This window comes from Homo sapiens, chromosome 18, assembly GCF_000001405.40.
Source record: "Homo sapiens chromosome 18, GRCh38.p14 Primary Assembly".
NCBI classification, from domain to species: Eukaryota; Metazoa; Chordata; class Mammalia; order Primates; family Hominidae; genus Homo; species Homo sapiens.
In genome coordinates, this window is record NC_000018.10 from 12,432,665 (window position 1) to 12,450,355 (window position 17,691).

The window sequence follows — 17,691 nt, forward strand, 5'->3', positions numbered from 1 at the left end:
AAAAACAAGCACCTGCGTGCGTTGTGGTTATTCTATGCTCTCCAATATATATAAATTTTAAGAAGTTTTTCTTGAGGTGGTCAGTTCTTAAACCAAGAAAGTGGTAGTAGTTGATTTTAATTAGTGTAAAGTTGTCTTCGTAACTTCCGTGTTGGTTGGAAATAGGTTCATTCTTTGTTTTGAAAAGGAGTCAAGCGCAGTGGTGAGAAGGGGAAGAGGAGAGCAGGCGGTTCCAGTGCGACCCAACGGCAGCCAGAGGCCGCCCTGCCCCGCCGGCCAGAAGCGGACTCGGTGCAGACATGCAGCTCTCTCCGTGGAATGTGCATGTGCACGGAGGTGAGTGTGGTCTGATAAGGCCGCAGGCAGCTCGTTTGGGAAAACTGCGCAGGGCTCGGCCTCAGTGGCCAAGCAGTGTTTGTGGGGCACCGGAAGCGGCGCCGCACCCGTGCTGGCCGGCCCGCCACTGGGAAGAAACGCCCCCTCGGGCGGCCTACTGCTCCCATCGAAGCCCACAGGCCGTGGCCCTGAGGGCACCCAGTGCTGCTCGTGCGCAGGGTCCGGGACTTTCGCCAGCAGGAACCGCAGTGCACTTGCTGCCTGTTGGCCTCAGTCTTTTTTATTTATTTGTTTATTTATTTTGAGGCATAGTCTGGCTCTGGAGTGCAGTAGCGCGCGGCTTCCGCCTCCTGGTATTAGGTGATCCTTCCGCCTCAGCCTCCTGAGTAGCTGAGACCACAGGCCCGTGCCACCACACCTAATTTTTTTTTTTTTTCTTTTTTGAGACGGAGTCTCGCTCTGTCGCCCAGGCTGAAGTGCAGTGGCGCCAACTTGGCTCACTGCAAGCTCCACCTCCCAGGTTTACGCCATCCTCCTGCCTCAGCCTCCCGACAGCTGGGACTACAGGCGCCCGCCACCACGCCCGGCTAATTTTTTGTATTTTTTTTTCAGTAGAGACCGGGCTTCACCGTGTTAGCCAGGATGGTCTCCATCTCCTGACCTCGTGATCCGCCTGCCTTGGCCTCCCAAAGTGCTGGGATTACAGGCGTGAGCCACCGCGCCCGGCCAGTATTTTTTTTTTTTTTTTAAGAGACGGGGCCTCACTATGTTGCCTAGGCTGGTCTCAAACTCCTGGGCTCGAGCCATCCTTGCACCTCAGCCTTGTCCCCAAATGCTGGGACCACAGGTGTGTGCCACCGCTTGGGGCTGCAGCCTCTCTTACAGGCGCCCCTGCATCTCCTGTGAACAGACAGAAAACGGGCTTGCTCCTCCCGCCACACGGCTGTCCTTCCCCATTTCTAATAAGTGCTGCTCCCATTTCCCAAACACAAAGCCCGGGTCCCCGGCCGGCCGACGTCTTCCTCCTGCCTTTTCTCTCGGGGCTGTTTGGACATGGCACCTTCCTCCAGCATCTAGGCTGAGTTCTGGGTTTCCCCGCCCCGTTCTGCTCTGCGTACTCGTCCCTGGCGTTGCCACTCTGTGACCTTGCCTGCGTGTCGCGTGCCCGCTGCGGAAGCCGGGCCGCGGGGCTTGGGAGCTGAGGGGAGGCCGAGTCCGGAGATGCGCGGCGCGAGCCCGGCCGGCCCGCACATGGTCACTCCGCCAGGCTTGGAGGACCCTGGAGGGGCCCTCAGAGTGGCCACTGCGGACGCCATCCTCCAGCCCGGGTGCAGCCCCCGGAGGCTGCGGGTCCCGCTGCCATCTCCACTGCCACCTCGTGCGAGGCCCAGGCCGGGATCCCCCGCCAGAGCTGCTCCCGTAAATGCTCATCACCTCCTGCAGAGCCCGGGGTCGTCTGTTATGCAGGCAGTGAACGCCCCGCCTCGTACTTGTCTGCACAGTCACCTTCTGTCTGGCCTCTCGCTCATGCTGTCCCACTTCTTACACTACTCCAAAAATATTCCTGTCATAAAGTCCCTTGATTAGAAAGCTAGGGAGGGTTCTCGTCCCTTTCTGAAAAAGGTCAAAAGCAAGGCCGAGGCACCGGCACGGGTGACTGATGCAGGCGGGCAGCAGTGGCCCCTCTGAGCCCAACCTCAGATCTTCTGCGGAGCTGTCCCTCCGGCGCCGGCCCACAGCGCCACAGCCCACCATCACCATCAATTCCTAGAGATTTATGTTGCCTTGAACTATTTTTTTAAACTATTCGCATATGTATTTGACCAGCCTGGGCTCAAAGTTCTTCCGTGCCAAGGCAGATGTCCTGCTTTTGCGCTCATGATCCTGGGTCTTCTCTAAGGGCTTTGGTGACTGGAGAACGGCCTGGAGTCAGAGCTGCCCGAAGGCGGCCCGAGGGCAGCTGCAGCCTCAGCTTGATGCCGGGCTAGTGGTTTCACCTTAAGCAAATGACTACGTTATTATTCCCAAGTTTTGCATCTGTAAAAGAGGCCGTTAATAGCATCTGTGTGAGAGTTGAGTGTGGGAGGAGAGAATGGGACGCTGAGCAGGATGCTTGCGTACAGTAAGCCCTGGAAAACTGGCAGTGGTCAGCTACTGAAAAGCAAAGTTTCTAAAACTATGTATTAATAGTAACATAAGCATAGAATGATGTCATAAAGTTTATTTTCATATTTTTCCTTATTTTATTATTGGCCAAATTATCTTAATATGACACATTTGAAAGTTTAATGTTTACTTCAGCCTAACTGGTATAAAATCGTTAATCAAACTTTAACACTCATTTTTGTTTAAATTTAAGGGGTACAAAGGCATTTTTTGTTTTGTCTTGTTTTGAGACGGAGTCTCACTCTGTCACCCCCAGGCTGGAGGGCAGTGGCATGATCTCGGCTCACTGCAACCTCTACCTCCCAGGTTCAAGCGATTCTCCTATCTCAGTCTCCCAAATAGCTGGGATTACAGGTGTCTGCCACCCTGCCAGGCTAATTTTTGTATTTTTAGTAGAGATGGAGTTTCACCATGTTGGCCAGGCTGGTCTAGAACTCCTGACCTCAGGTGATCCACCCAGCCTTGGCCTCCCAAAGTGCTGGGATTACAGGTGTGATTCCACCGCGCCCCGCCAAATGCAGTTTTGATACATGGATCTGTCACGTAGTGGAGTCTGGGCTTTTAGTGTACCCATCACCCAAATAGTGTACATTACACATTAGGTAATTTCTCACTCCTCACCTCCCTCTCACCCTCGGAGTCTTCCATTGAGCATATACTATGTGTTCTTTAGCCCTTCGTCCACTGATGTACATTCAGGTTGATTATGTCCCTGCCATTGTGAATAGTGCTGCAATAAACAAAATTGCAGGTATTTTTATGAATTATTTTCCTTTGTGTAGATACCCAGAGGTGGGATTGCTGGATCAAAAATTAGCTGGAGAGAGAGTTGTGCCCTCATGTCACTTCCTCCCATTGCCGACTCGCTGGTGCTGCCCACGGGGCTCTGCAGAGCACGCCTGCTCCCCCTGCCAAGTGGCTCCCTCACGTCGCCTCTTCCTTCCCACTCCTCCCTGCAACACGTCCCACTGCTTATACCTTCTGCATTGTATGTTGATGTGTGCCTGTAGTCCCAGCTACTCAGGAGGCTGATGCGGAAGGATCACCTGATCCAGGAGTTTGAGACTGCAGTGAGCCATGATCAAACCACTGCACTACAGCCTGGGCAAGACAGTTAGACCCTATCTCAAAAAAGCTAAAACAAAAGAAACCAGAAAACTCCATACTGTTTTCCACAGAGGTTGTACTAATTTGCATTCCAACCAACAGTATATAAGCATTCCCTTTTCTCCACATCCTTATCAATGTCTATAATTTTTTTGACTTTTCAATGATAGCAATTTTGACTAGCTTGAGATGGTATCTCATTGCGGTTTTAATGTGCATTTCTCTGATGATAGTGATGTTGAGCATTTTATTTATTTTTTATTTCTTTGAGATGGAGTCTTGCCTTGTCGCCCAGGCTGGAGTCCAGTGTTGTGATCTCAGCTCACTGCAACTTCCCCCTCCTGTGTTCAAACGATTCTCCTGCCTCAGCCTCCCAAGTAGCTGGGATTACAGGCGCCTGCCACTATGCCCAGCTATTTTTTGTATTTTTAGTAGAGACGGGGTTTCACCATGTTGGCCAGGCTGGTCCCGAACTCCTGACCTCATAATCTGTCCCCCTTGGCCTCCCAAAGTGCAAGGATTACAGGTATGAGCCACAGTGCCTGGCCGATGTTGAGCATTTTAAAATATGCTGGTTGGGCCAGGTGCAGCGGCTCAGGCCTGCAATCCCAGCACCTTGGGAGGCCGAGGCGAGCACATTGCTTGAGCCCAGGAGTTGAGACCAGCCTGGTCAAGGTGGCAAAACCCCATCTCTACTAGGAACACAAAAAATTAGCCGGGCGTGGTGGTGCACCTCTGTGGTCCCAGCTGCTTCGGAGGTGGTAGTGGGAGGATCACCTGAGCCCAGGAAGTGAAGGCTGCAGTGAGCCGTGTTTGTGTCACTGCACTCCAGCCTGGGTGATGGGAGTGAGACCCTGTCTCAATAAAAAAGAAAATAAATTAAAAAATAAAATATGCTTGTTGGCCATTTGTATGTCTTCTTTTGAAAAATGTCTATTTATGTCCTTTGCCCACCTTATTATTGGGCTATTTTGCTGTTATCCCTGAGTTCTGTGTAAACTCTGGATCTTAGTCCCCTGCTGGTTGCGTAGTTTGCAAATATTTTCTTCCATTCTGCAGGCTGTCTCTCCACTCTGTTTCTTTCTTTTGCCATGCAGTAATAAAACTTGTATGATTACTCTTTTTTTTGAGATGGAGTCTCACTCTGTTGCCCAGGCTAGAGTGCAGTGGTGCGATCTCAGCTCACTGCAAGCTCCGCCTGCCAGGTTTATGCCATTATCCTGCCTCAGCCTCCCCAGCAGCTGGGACTACAGGCACACACTGCCACGCCCGGCTAATTTTTTTTTTTTTTTTTTTAGTAGAGACGGGATTTCACCATGTTAGCCAAGATGGTCTCCATCTCCTGACCTTGTGATCCGCCCGCCTCAGCCTCCCAAAGTGCTGGAATTACAGGCATGAGCCACCACGCCCAGCCGTATGATTACCCTTAAGAGTTAACTACCACACTCAAAAGAGGCAAGTAGTAAAAAATTAATGAGTACAAGCTCTGTACTAATAAATCCCTTTGCATTCATAAAGCAGCTTTGATGACAGGTCTTCAGGATCCCTGTTCTTCTGCACATCAGTTTGTTAATGGGAAAAGCCAGGTTGGGAGGCAGGGCTGTGCAGGTCCCCCGACTTGGGTTCTAGTGGTGGGTAGAGCCAAGAGGAATGTGTGACGAGTGGCACTTTCAAGCGGGAGGTAGAAAGCCCAGACTGGCACAAGTCAACCATGCTCACAGCATGAGCTGCTGACTTGGCCTTCTCTATTCTAATGAGCTGTTTTAGGGCTGCAGTAATTTGTTGACTTAGAATTGTACTCCTGACTTAAAGGCGCGGGGCTGCGTGTCGCATTTATCTGTTGAACTGCACAGTTGACACACCATGTCAGTTGAAGACATCTTGATGGTTCCATCTTTGTATGTATCACTTATTCTCATGTCCGTATTAACCTGCTCATTCAGTCAGTAATTCCCTCCACGGTTATTAGGCACCTGTTACATGCCAGGAATTATTTTCAGAAGCTGGGGATACAGCAAGTGAAGCAATCTGACAAAGATGCCTGTGTTCATGGAACAATGTAGTAGAATGTTAGGTGGTACAATGGAAAAAATACAATGCAGAAGCCATAAGCAGTGGGACGTGTTGCAGGGAGGAGTGGGAAGGAAGAGGCGACGTGAGGGAGCCACTTGGCAGGGGGAGCAGGCGTGCTCTGCAGAACCCCGTGGGCAGCACCAGCGAGTCAGCAATGGGAAGAAGTGACACGACGGCACAACTCCCAACTCTTTGACCTATTCAAAGATGGAACTTCACAGAGAATCAGCTCTGCTTTGTCCTAGACACATTTAAAGAGAGCTGAGACGGCCTGTCAGGTGAGAGGTTGTGGGTGATTCCTGCCGAAGGGTGGCCATGTGTCTTATCAGCTCTAAATAAAAGCTGGCCATAGAGATCAAATTTAGTGAGGAGTTCAGGCAGCGATGGAGACTTTGGCACTGAGGGCCAGAGCGTGAAGTCTCCCTGCCAGGATCTCATTAGTATACATGAGAGGTGCATATCTCAGGGACTACCTGCAGCGGTGCTCGCTATCCTTGACCAAGCTGGAGAACAAGAGTTGTCTTTACTTGTGTTTCCTTTTAGCGCAACTAGGGTTGCCACACACGCCAAGTGGAGGAGAAGAGCCTGCTGTGTGCGCGCACCTGACAGTCACCGGCTTCTCTTTACGTTTCCAATAGGAAGCGCACACTACGCTGTGGGAACAAAAACACCAGGTGTCTGCTATGGCCAAGGCAGATAAGGTCTTTCTCTCCAACAGGATCCAGAGATGAGCCACTGGTACTAACACCCAACGGCTGATGTAAGGGGCTGTGTCCCTTTTTAAAAAGTCAACTCATCTTTCTGAGGTTTTTCTTTTTAATTTTGAGAGATGGAGCCAGGTTCTTTGTAGCAACTAGTAAAACTGAATTTGCCTTTGCCTCCAGTTTCGAATAAGTGCAGCACATTTTGCACTTTCCTTACTTTCATGTAATATTCATAATCAGGTTTGTCATCAACACAGAAATAATGCTTAGAAAGTATCAGTCATTTCACACTTCACTTTAGTGAAGGGCTGGCTTGGATTACACGCTGTTTCTCAAGTCACACTGGCTCAGGCTTCAAGTGTCTTTACTTGTTGATGCCTGTGTAGTACTGGTTGTTCACACAGTATCCTGAATCTCTCTCCTAGTTGAAAGTGACCTTGGAGAACACCTAGTCTAACACACTTGCTTTATTTCATTTATTTATTTTTTCTGAGACGGGGTTTCGCTCTTGTTGCCTAGGCTAGAGTGCAATGGTACGATCTCAGCTCACCACAACCTCCGCCTCCCAGGTTCAAGCGATTCTCCTGCCTCAGTCTCCCCAGTAGCTGGGATTACAGGCATGCGCCACCACGCCTGGCTAATTTTGTATTTTTAGTAGAGACAGGGTTTCTCTGTGTTTGTCAGGCTGGTCTCGAACTCCCGACCTCAGGTGATCTGCCCTCCTCGTCCTCCCAAAGTGCTGGGATTACAGGCGTGAGCCACTGCGCCTGGCACACTCTTGCTTTAAACTCGAAGAGACAAATTCATAAAAGCTCAGGAGCTGTCCCAGTGTTAGGTAGCTGTTTTGTTGCCACGGTGGAGCACAGTTTTGCCATGCTGGAGCACAGTTTAGTTAGAACCATTCCAGATACTTGAAAACTAGGTGTTGCCGAGAAATAATCTACTTTGCTAATTACAGACTAGTTTTTTTCAGTCATCAGGACAAAAGGTTCTGGGTCTTGAAAAAGCCGTTTTGCTAGTTGAGTATTACTTTGGAGTAGAGAGGCGTCCCTCACTGCAGCTGCTGCACCTGGAGCAGTGTCCAACCAGTCACACCCAGAGCCCCTGGTCCAAGCCGATATTCTGTGCATCTGCCTTCTGCAGCAACCTTGAGATTGTGGTGGATGCCCCCCTAGTGGCTTCTTCTCTCGAGTCATGTTCCCCTTGGTGGGCAAGCTGAATTCTTAGGCTTCTTTTCCCTTTGAGATATTTAAGATGAAAGTTTTATCACTTTAAGGCCTGGCACGGTACCTCATGCCTGTAATCCCAGCATTTTGGGAGGCCGAGGCGGGCAGATCACTTGAGCTCAGGAGTTCAAGACCAGCCTGGGCAATATGGCAAAACCCCATCTCTAGTAAAAATACAAAAATTAGCTGGGCATTGGTGGTGTGTGCCTGTAGTCCCAGTCACTCAGAAGGCTGAAGCGGGAGAATTGCTTGAACCCGGGAGGCGGAAGGTGCAGTGAACCCAGATCGTGCCACTGCACTCCAGCCTGGGTGACAGAGTGAGACTCCATCTCAAAAAACAAAAACAAACAAACAAACAAACAAAAGCACACACAGAAAGTGGCCAGGCATGGTGGCTCACACCTGTAATTCCAGCACTTTGGGCGGCCGAAGTGGGCAGATCGCTCGAGCTCAGGAGTTCCAGACCAGCCTGGGCAATATAGGGAGACCCCTGTCGCTACATTTTTTTTTTTTTAAAGTTAGCCAGGCATGGTGGCATGCACCTGTAGTCCCAGCTACTTAGGAGGCTGATGAGGGAGGATCGCTTGAGCCCAGGAGCTCAAGACTTCAGTGAGCAGCTTTGCACCACTGAACCACTGCACTCCAGCCTGGCTGAGAGTGAGACCCTCTCTCTTAGAAAAAGAAGTGACTGGGTGGGCATGGTGGCTCACGCCTGTAATCCCAGCACTTTGGGAGGCTGAGGTGGGCGGATCACCTGAGGTCAGGAGTTTGAGACCAGCCTGACCAACATGGAGAAACCCCGTGTCTTTATACAAAATTAGCCGGGCGTGGTGGCAGGCGCCTGTAGTCCCCAACTACTCGGGAGGCTGAGGCAGGAGAATCACTTGAACTGGAGGGAGGGGGGTGGGGAGCGTGGGGAGGCGGAAGTTGCAGTGAGCCGAGATCGCGCCATTGCACTCCAGCCTGGGCAACAAAAGCGAAACTCCATCTCAAAAAAAAAAAAAAAAAAAAAAAAAGGAGTGACTTTTCTGTAGAAGCTGCATTGCTCGTTAGGCTCTCCTGTGCAGACGTGGGCTCGCTCCCTCCTCGGCCACGCTATTCCCTAGAGGCTCCACACAATGTCTGCTCACGAGCCTGAGGTTCAGGTTAGAGCTGCAGAAATCCTCATCTTTGGCTTTCTACTCTCCTAAAAACTCTTGCTGCTGGGAGGAATTGGGATGTGAAGCTTTCTGCTGTCACCCTAGGGAAGGGGGTTAGGGATGGAGGCAGATCAGGGACAACAGATAGACGATTGCTGCAGTCAGAAGGCAGCCCCAAAGCAAAGAAGAATGTATACAAGACGGGCAAGCTTCAAGTGAGCCGCATGCCCTCGATTCACAGACAACCTGCCTCATTGCAGCAGCTGTGACCATTCCCAGCACGGGACCCACAGTGTCTGGCCCTCTTGGTGCCAAAAGAAATCTGAATACTAAGCTGTGTCAAACATGCAGATGCTTCTTCAGCTCTCAAGCCCTGAGGACATAAACTTCCAGATGCCCCACATTTCCGGAGCGCTGTCCTGTCAGTTCTGGAGCGCTTGCTGTCACTGCTTCCATCAAACGGGCTCCGAGGCAGCCACCAGTATCGGGAGCACAGCTGCAGTGCCCTGCACGGCAATGGCTAACATACTAGACACCATGTGTATGTTAACAAGATGAGCTGGAATAGTGGTGAAAATTCAGTCTTCCAGGTAACTGCATCTGAACTTTTTTTTCCACCCAGGCTGGAGTACAGTGGCGCAATCTCGGCTCACAGCAACCTCCGCCTCCCAGGTTCAAGCGATTCTCCTGCCTTAGCTTTCTGAGTAGCTCGGACTACAGGTGCGCGCCACCATGCCCAGCTAATTTTTGTATTTTTAGTAGAGACGGGGTTTCCTCATGTTGGCCAGGTTGGTCTTGAACTCCTGACCTCAAGTGATCTACCCACCTCAGTCTTCCAGAGTGCTGGGATTACAGGCGTGAGGCACTGCGCCCGGCCTGCATCTGAACATTTGATTCGTGTAGGCAGAGGCCTTTTCTTTTTTTTTTTTTGAGATGGGGGTCTCGCCATGTTGCCCAGTCTGGTCTTCAACTCTTGGATTTAAGCAGTCCTCTCACCTCGGCCTCCCAAAGTGTTGGGATTACAGGCATGAGCCACTGTGCCCGGCCTAGAGCTTTATATTAAGGTCTTAGCTCTTAAAACTTTTTTGGGTGGGCAAAGGGAGAGGTTTCGCATGCCTTTGGCTAATAGGAGGGAAGCACCACGCCTTTTATTAGCATTATAATCAATGTGTGTGTGCATGTGCCTGGTGCGAGCACTTGCACATTCTGCAGCGATATCAGGAGTCTTTATTTATTTGAGACTGGGTTTCTCTCTTGTTGCTCAGGCTGGAGTGCAGTGGCATAATCTCAGCTCACTGCAACTTCCGCCTCCCGGGTTCAAGCGATTCTCCTGCCTCAGTCTCCTGAGTAACTGGGATTACTGGCACCCACCCCCACGCCAGGCTAATTTTTTGTATTTTTAGTAGAGACAGGGTTTCACCATGTTGGGCAGGCTGGTCTCGAACTCCTGATCCACTCGCCTTGGCCTCCAAAATGTTGGGATTACAAGCATGAGCCACCATGCCTGGCCAAGGAGTCTTTAAATAACTCGTGTGTGCAATCAAGCCCTTTCCTAAAGATAGTTTTCTTTATGAAATTGTAGACTGTGATTTACAACTGTACATCTTTTCCTCAACTGGAGCTGGTAAGAAAAAAGTTAAATATGTGTTACCCAAAGCTTTTCCTACTTATGGTATCCAAATTCTTTGTATATCTGCAATACAGGAAGCACGAGTCAAAGATTATGACTTGGACTTAGTCACTGGACATGTGGATTATGAGTTGGACACATACACACAAGTATCTTGACATACACATATCACAGAGGAACTTCAGAGGAAGGGGCTCCTAAGAAATGTCTGGCAACTGAGGGAACAGGTTATGTAAATGGATTAATATAAAACTCAACTTTATATAATGTGTAAGATATTTAGAAGGTAAACCATGCATTCTTAGTTAAGATAAAAACACAAGAACTTTCCTCTGCTCGTATTTCAGGAATACGTCTGCTGAGGGACACGTTCTACAAAACAATGAAGTTTGCTGCATCAACTGCATTTTCCTTTCATGAAAAATTTCTCTGTACCATGCAGTGGTGTTTGACAGCATGTTACCCACAGTAGAATTACTTTCAAAATCTGAGTCAATCTTCTCAAACCCTGCCGCTGCTTTATCAACTAAGTATGCACTACTGTAAATCTTTGATCACTTCAACAATGTTCACAGCATCTTCGCTGGTAGATTTCCTCTTAAAAAACCACATTGCTCATTCACAAGAACCAATGCCTCAGCAATTTACGTTTTCTCATGAGACTGCAGTAATTCAGTCACATCCTCAGGCTCCATGTCTAATTCTAGTTCACTTGCTAGTTCCACCCCATCTGCAGTTACTTCCTCTACTGAAGTCTTGGAATGAACTTCTTCCAAACTCCTGTTCATGTTGCATTTTGACCTCCTTCCATGAATCACCAATGTTTTTAATGGCATCTAGAATGGTGAATCCTTTCCTGAGGGTTTTCAATGTGCTTTGCCCAGATCCATCAGAGGAACCACTGCCTGTGACAGCTAAAGCCTTATGAAGTGTATTTCTTAAGTAAAAGTAAAACTTACTCCTTGATCCATGGGCTACAGAATGGATGTTGTGTTAGCAGGCATGAAAACAACAACAGTCTCCTTGTACAACTCCATCAGACCTCTTGGGTGACCAGGTGCATTGTCAATGAGCAGTAATATTTTGAAAGAAATCTTTTTTTCCGAGCAGTAGGTCTCAACAGTAGGCTTAAAACGTTCAGTAAACCTTGCTGTAAACAAATCTGCTGTCATCTGCCGAGGCTTTGTTAGTCATTGGCAGGGTATAGGTAGATTTAGCTTCAGATTCAAGGGCCTTAGGATTTTCTGAATGGTAAATGAGCACTGGCTTCAATGTAAGGTCACCAGCTACATTAGTCCCTAACAAGAGCGTCAGCCTTCGAAGCCTGGAAGCCAGGCATTGACTGTTCTCTAGCTATGAAAGTCCTATATGGCATCTTCTGTTTCATCTGCATTGCAAAAGTGTAGTGTAGCCACCTTTTTCAAGATCATAGCTAGATCTTCTGGAGAACTTGCTGCAGCTTCTACATCAGCACTTGCTGCCTTACCTTGCACTTTATGTTATGGAGATGGCTTCTTTCCTTAAACTTCATGAACCAACCTCTGCAAGCTTTCAAATTTTCTTCTGCAGCCTCCTTACCTCTCTCAGCCTTCAAAGAATTGAAATGAGTTAAGGCCTTGCTATGGATTAGGTTTGGCTTAAGGAAATGTGGCTGGTTTGATCTTTATCCAGACCACTCAAACATTCTCCATATCAGGAAATAAGGCTGTTTTGCTTTCTTTTTTTTTTTTTAAAGAAATGGAGTCTCTCTCTGTCACCCAGAACAGAATCCAGTGGTGTGATCATAGCTCACTGCAGCCTCAAACTCCTGGGCTCTAGCGATCCTCCTGCATCAGCCTCCTGAGGAGCTAGGACTACAGGCATGCACCACACACAGCTTGCTTTCTTATCATTAGTGTTCAATGGAGTAACACTTGTAATTTCCTTCAATAACTTTTTCTTTGCATTCACAGCTTGGCTGTTTGGTGCAAGAGGCCTAGCTTTGGGCCTATCTCAGCTTTTGAATGCCTGCTTCACTAAGCATAATCATTTCTAGCTTTTGATTTAAAGCGAGAGACTTTCGACTTTTTCTTTCACTTAACACTTAGAAGCCACTGTACTGTAGGGCTTTTGGCCTCATTTCAATATTGTATCTCAGGGAACGGGGAGCCTGAGGAGAGGGGAAGAGAGACGGGGGAACAGTCAGAACACACACAACATTTATCAATTAAGTTTGCCATCTTATATGGGCACAGGTCATGGCTCCCCAAAACAATTACAACAGTAACATCAAAGATCACAGATCACCATAAAAGAGAGAGTAATAATGAAAAAGCTTGAAATGTTGGGAGAGCTACCAAAATGTGATGCAGACACACAAAGTACGCACAAGCTGTTGGAAAAATGCTGCCGACTGACTTGCCTGCTGCAGGGCTGCCACAAACTGTAAAAATGCAGCGCACCTGTGAAGCGCCACGAAGCCACACATGATGGGGTGGGACACGTCTGTGCATGGCTGGGGAAACAGTCACCCTTGTGGGTGTACAGCTCTTCAGATGTTTTGCATTAGAATGCAGGCATAAAGTCCCTTATGTATTTTTAATTTCCAAGCAACAATAATTTAAAAATCAGTTGGAGAGTGTCAGCAGGTGCTTCTAGGTTCTGTGTGGTGAGCCCCCAGGTCCTGGCGTGTAGGGCTCTGGATGTCTCTGTACACGGGATAGAAACATGGTCACGTGGGAATGCCAATATGACTTATTGCTTATTGAGCTGTGCAGGCTTTTCTGCTTTATCAATTACGCCTCCAGGAAGCTGTGAAAGAAAGCTTCATCCATCTCCCACAGGATTTGTCTCCATATTTGTGACACATAATAAAATGTTATGTACTCTTTATGTAATTTTACTCTCCTACTCATGGCTGCTTATCACTTGTGACAACATGTTAATTTTTCCAGTGCGGTCCTTGTAGACTGTTTTTCTTTTTCTTTTTTTTTTTTTTTTGAGGCGGAGTCTTGCTCTGTCACCCAGGCTGGAGTACAGTGGCACAATCTCAGCTCACTGCAATCTCCACCTGCCGGGTTCAAGCGATTCTTGTGCCTTGCCTCCCCAGTAGCTGGGATTACAGGAGCACACCACCACGCCTGGCTAATTTCTGTATTTTTAGTAGAGATGGGGTTTCACTATGTTGGCCACCATGTACAAAAATACAAAAATTAGCTGGGCATGGTGGCGGGCACTTGTAATCCCAGGTACTTGGGAGGCTGAGGCACGAGAATCGCTTGAACTCCTGACCTCAGGTGATCCGTCTGCCTCAGCCTCCCAAAGTGCTGGGATTACAGGCGTGAACCACCATGCCCGGCCTAGACTGTATTTCTTCAAAGATCACAGGCTGCTTATAAAAGTACCCTGCCTTCCCAATTGAGGTGATTTCTGACAGCTAATTACCAAAAGACATCACCGTCTTACGATAGCAACTCAACACAGAAAGTCTGATGGAAAGCCATTTTATTTTTCTCTAAATTTTAAAATAGAAGACTTTAATGGAAAACATTTAGTACCATCATGTCACCCTGAATGCCAGCAATACCTCGACTTTTACACACGCAGGAAGCCTAGTAAAAGCCCCGTCAGTAGTACACATTTCTCTATGGTCCTTCAACAGTTTTGCATATACAAAATTTTCTGCTATTTTGCTTTAGCAAACAGCAATAAACTTTTGTGTTTCCTATATGACACCTAATATCCAGTCCTACAGTAATATAGTTAGAAAAATAAAAGGCTTAAAAATTTCATAGTACGAGTTCATGGTGCTAATAACAGAATCTCTTTAAACATAAGATCATTTTAAGCCTCTTACATAACCACCTTCTGGTTTCATTTGAAATCCTTAAGAATTAAAATCTAGTAAGATTGTTAAATCAACGTACGTCAATCATTCATTTTCACTTGCCTTGGGAGAGTTAATTCCCACTGTCCACTGAATGAATGCCTTTCAAATATTAATAAATATATTACAGTATTTACAAGCATTCTTATACACTCCGACACTGACAGGGAGTTAAGCCATGGAGAGGGAAGCACAGGTTTCCCAATAGTGTGACTTCATGACGTATGGGACAAAAGGAACCGGTGCTCAGGCCTGGAGGGAGCTGAGATGAGAGCAGGGATGATGGTTCAGATACGCACACATGCTCTAAGACACATCAGACTCTAGCTGAGACCAGCCAGACATTTCTTTTGTTGTTGGATTAGAAGTAAAACTGAACAAGAAACCAGGACACGGAAGGAAGAACTGGAAGCTATGCCTAAAGTCAGACCAGGCTAAGGATTTTAAAACCAAGCTCCACAAGCTCTTAGTGAATTACCCTGTGGAAACTATGTAGCTGACGTGAAGTGTGGAGGGGGGTGGTAGAAAGGGGGGTTAAATGTAAGACTTTGTTTTGGCAACAAAAAATGATAGTAATTTGATTTCTACAACTTTAACTGTGCCATGTGCCCTTTCTTACCCCACTTTCTGCAGATTGTTTCATATGAACGTACCCTCCACGTGACCTCTTTAATGCACTTGGCAAACTCCGTTAATGCTGTTGAAGAATGTATGTTCTGTGCTGTGGTAAGAGGTGATCGTAATGCCCAAATCATCCAATACACTATCATAAAGTGAAGTGAAAGACATGTACTAGATGTTTGCTTTGTGAATGTGAATGAAAGTCTTATTTTGGGGGTGTAGTTTCTTATGTTTTAATAAAAACAGTAGTCATTATTTTAAAAAGCACATTCTCCTAGGTGCATATTTATATACATATACAAATACCATTTCCTTCCCCCTTGTGCCCTTCTGGGTAGTCATTTTAAAAACTCAAGCCTGGGGTCATCAAAAGGGGTAGATTTATACTCCCACCTAACTGTCTGGAGTATAGAGTTCAGATAGTCTCTTAGGAAGTTTTATAAATGAGATTCACCCAGTACAATTCTGAAAGCTCTTAAACAGGAGTCTTTAAAATAATGTAAACACTTAAGTAATCAATAAGGGTTCTCTGGTGGCCCACTTTTACATGCAAATACAGACCAACTGTTAACATGCATTATTTTAGTCAACTGGTAAAGTTTATTTCATAAGTATAAGTAATTTTAAGCCTTTTACTAAACTGTAAATTTCAATCCATTAAAAACTACTACCGGAGCAGTTTTGAGGTATTACTGTTAATTTAGTATAGAAATGTTACTGTATTTTGATGTGGTATGAAATGCAGCCGCCATGCCTTTCATGAAACGGTGCTATCGTGGTGCTGACTACAGACATGTCCTATGGCTTTCAGGAAATTATTGTGCATGTGCATTAACAGATTTTCCAAACATTAATGACAATTTGATTGGTTAGTCATTTGTAAGCATACCAAAATAATACAGTATAGCCCACGTATGAGCCAAACACACTGAGACATTTGAGGCATACAATGCTACCCTCCAGTCTACTTTCGTCAGAAACCAAACCTACTCACTCAAATCATTTACAAGGAAAACTAGTGCAGAAAGCACCCCAAAAATGTTGCCTGTCAGCAGGTTAATTTTCTTCTAACTTTAAAAGAAGTAGATATTTTTTCTTTTAAAATTCATTTATAAAAATAAATTTTAGTTTGAGACCCTAGGTACCAAATTGTGGCTTAATTTACTCAAGATGGATGTACTACAAAGTTATGAAAAATGTAGCTGAAAACCCATGAGCTCCAGCTCATTTCTGCAGCGTGGCCAACAGCTGCCACTGTACACTGTCACAACCCTTCTCATAGGTAACCAAAATACGCTCAACGTCTTGACAAACTTTTAGCCTTCCTTTGTCCTGAAACTCCCACACAACTTTAATTCTTAGACCTCCATTATAAAACTATTAGTAACCATAATACATTCAAGATAGAGAATGAAGACCTGTCATCCACTCAGGAGACACTGAACCAGGGCACTGGGACAACACGGCCACTCAGGGGAAATAGTCACCCTTGTGGGTGTACAGCTCTTCAGATGTTTTGCACTAGAATGCAGGCAAAAAGTCCCTTATGTAATTTTTATCTCCAAGCAACAACATTTAAAAATCAGTTGAAGAGTGTCAGCAGGTGCTTCTAGGTTCTGTGCTGTGAGCCCCCAGGTCGTGGAGTGTAGGGCTCTGGATCTCTCTGTACACGGGATAGAAACACAGTCACGTGGAAATGCCAATATGACTTACTGCTTAGGGCTGTGCTGACATCGGCATCTCTGTTAGACTGATTCTCGTAGGAGAAGCTTTTTTTTTTTGCCTTAGTCAGGAGATTATTCGAGGAACAGTAAAGAACTGAACTAAGGAAGTAGCTACTGGCTTCCAAAGCCACACACACACAAAAGTAAGTTTCAAACTGTTGTCCTCTCTCAGTGCAAACGAGCAATTGGCGGACCTGTCACGTTTCATCAATCGATACGAACACAGCATTCAGTCTGTGGAACAATGTGATGCGGCAAAAATCTGATCTAATGCAAATTCAAGCCCATTAAATAAAACCACAGAAAGGAGAGCCAGCCCGGCTCAGTGTCCTCGCGCACGGACGCTGACTCGTAGCACAAAAGCAGCTGAAAGGCACGAGGCTCAGATCTCACTGATCGTCCTCTCTGAAGGGCAGTACTCCGAGGGGCCTGGCGAGGACATGTAGAAAGACTGCGTTTTCCTTTTCAATCGGGCCCTTTTGTTGGCCAACACCAGACTGCGCCGGCTTGAACTGATGATTTCCGAAATGAACTTCTTGCAGTCCACACACACCTCCATGGTGCTCCAGTCCTCCATCAACTCTTTGGGAAACTGGAGTTCTTCATCTGATTTGTCCATAGACTTAGATTTTGAGGAGAACCTGGGGTGAAAACAAAACAGAAGCCCAGCATTGTTACTTATAGGTCTGCTGCAATATTAAGAAAATATGTATAAAAAAAAGTAAATTTGTTGTCAAAACATCATGGAATGGATGAGTGATTTAATCATATGTCCTTCTAAAAAAATTTCTTATTGGTGACAAGGCTAAAAAATATTACTTAGAAAAGAAAGTAGGAGGCCTAGTGCGGTGGCTCACGCCTGTAATCCCAGCACTTTGGGAGGCTGAGGCAGGCAGATCACCTGAGGTCAGGAGTTTGGCGAAACCCAGTCTCTACTAAAAAAAAAAAAAAAAAATAGCCAGGCATGGTGGTGGGCCCCTGTAATCCCCACTTCTCTGGAGGCTGAGGCGGGAGAATCGCTTGAACCCGGGAGGTGAAGGTTGCAGTGAGCTGAGATGGCACCACTGCACTCTAGCCAGGGTGACAAAAGCGAAACTCTG

General features: G+C 46.8%; 1 protein-coding gene and 1 long non-coding RNA gene across 14 annotated transcripts in view; one reads left to right on the top strand and one right to left on the bottom strand.

Moving 5' to 3' along the window:
- The first annotated feature begins 109 nt into the window (after window positions 1-109).
- On the top strand, window positions 110-15,134 carry LOC105371998 (uncharacterized). The gene is made up of 6 exons (NR_136514.1): window positions 110-336; window positions 4,911-5,064; window positions 5,740-5,960; window positions 6,321-6,442; window positions 10,729-10,911; window positions 14,880-15,134. It is a non-coding gene; the product is annotated as an uncharacterized LOC105371998 (long non-coding RNA).
- The window catches only part of SPIRE1 (spire type actin nucleation factor 1), a 215,580-nt gene continuing 211,736 nt past the window's right edge, over window positions 13,848-17,691 (bottom strand). For all 13 annotated transcript variants that reach the window (NR_197429.1, NM_001394323.1, NM_020148.3 and 10 more), the window contains one exon: window positions 13,848-17,232. Coding sequence is in view for 12 of the 13 variants with exons in the window: in NM_001394323.1 (NP_001381252.1) it covers window positions 16,974-17,232 (259 nt within the window). In the remaining variant the exon portion in view is untranslated. The remainder of the gene's footprint in view (window positions 17,233-17,691) is intronic.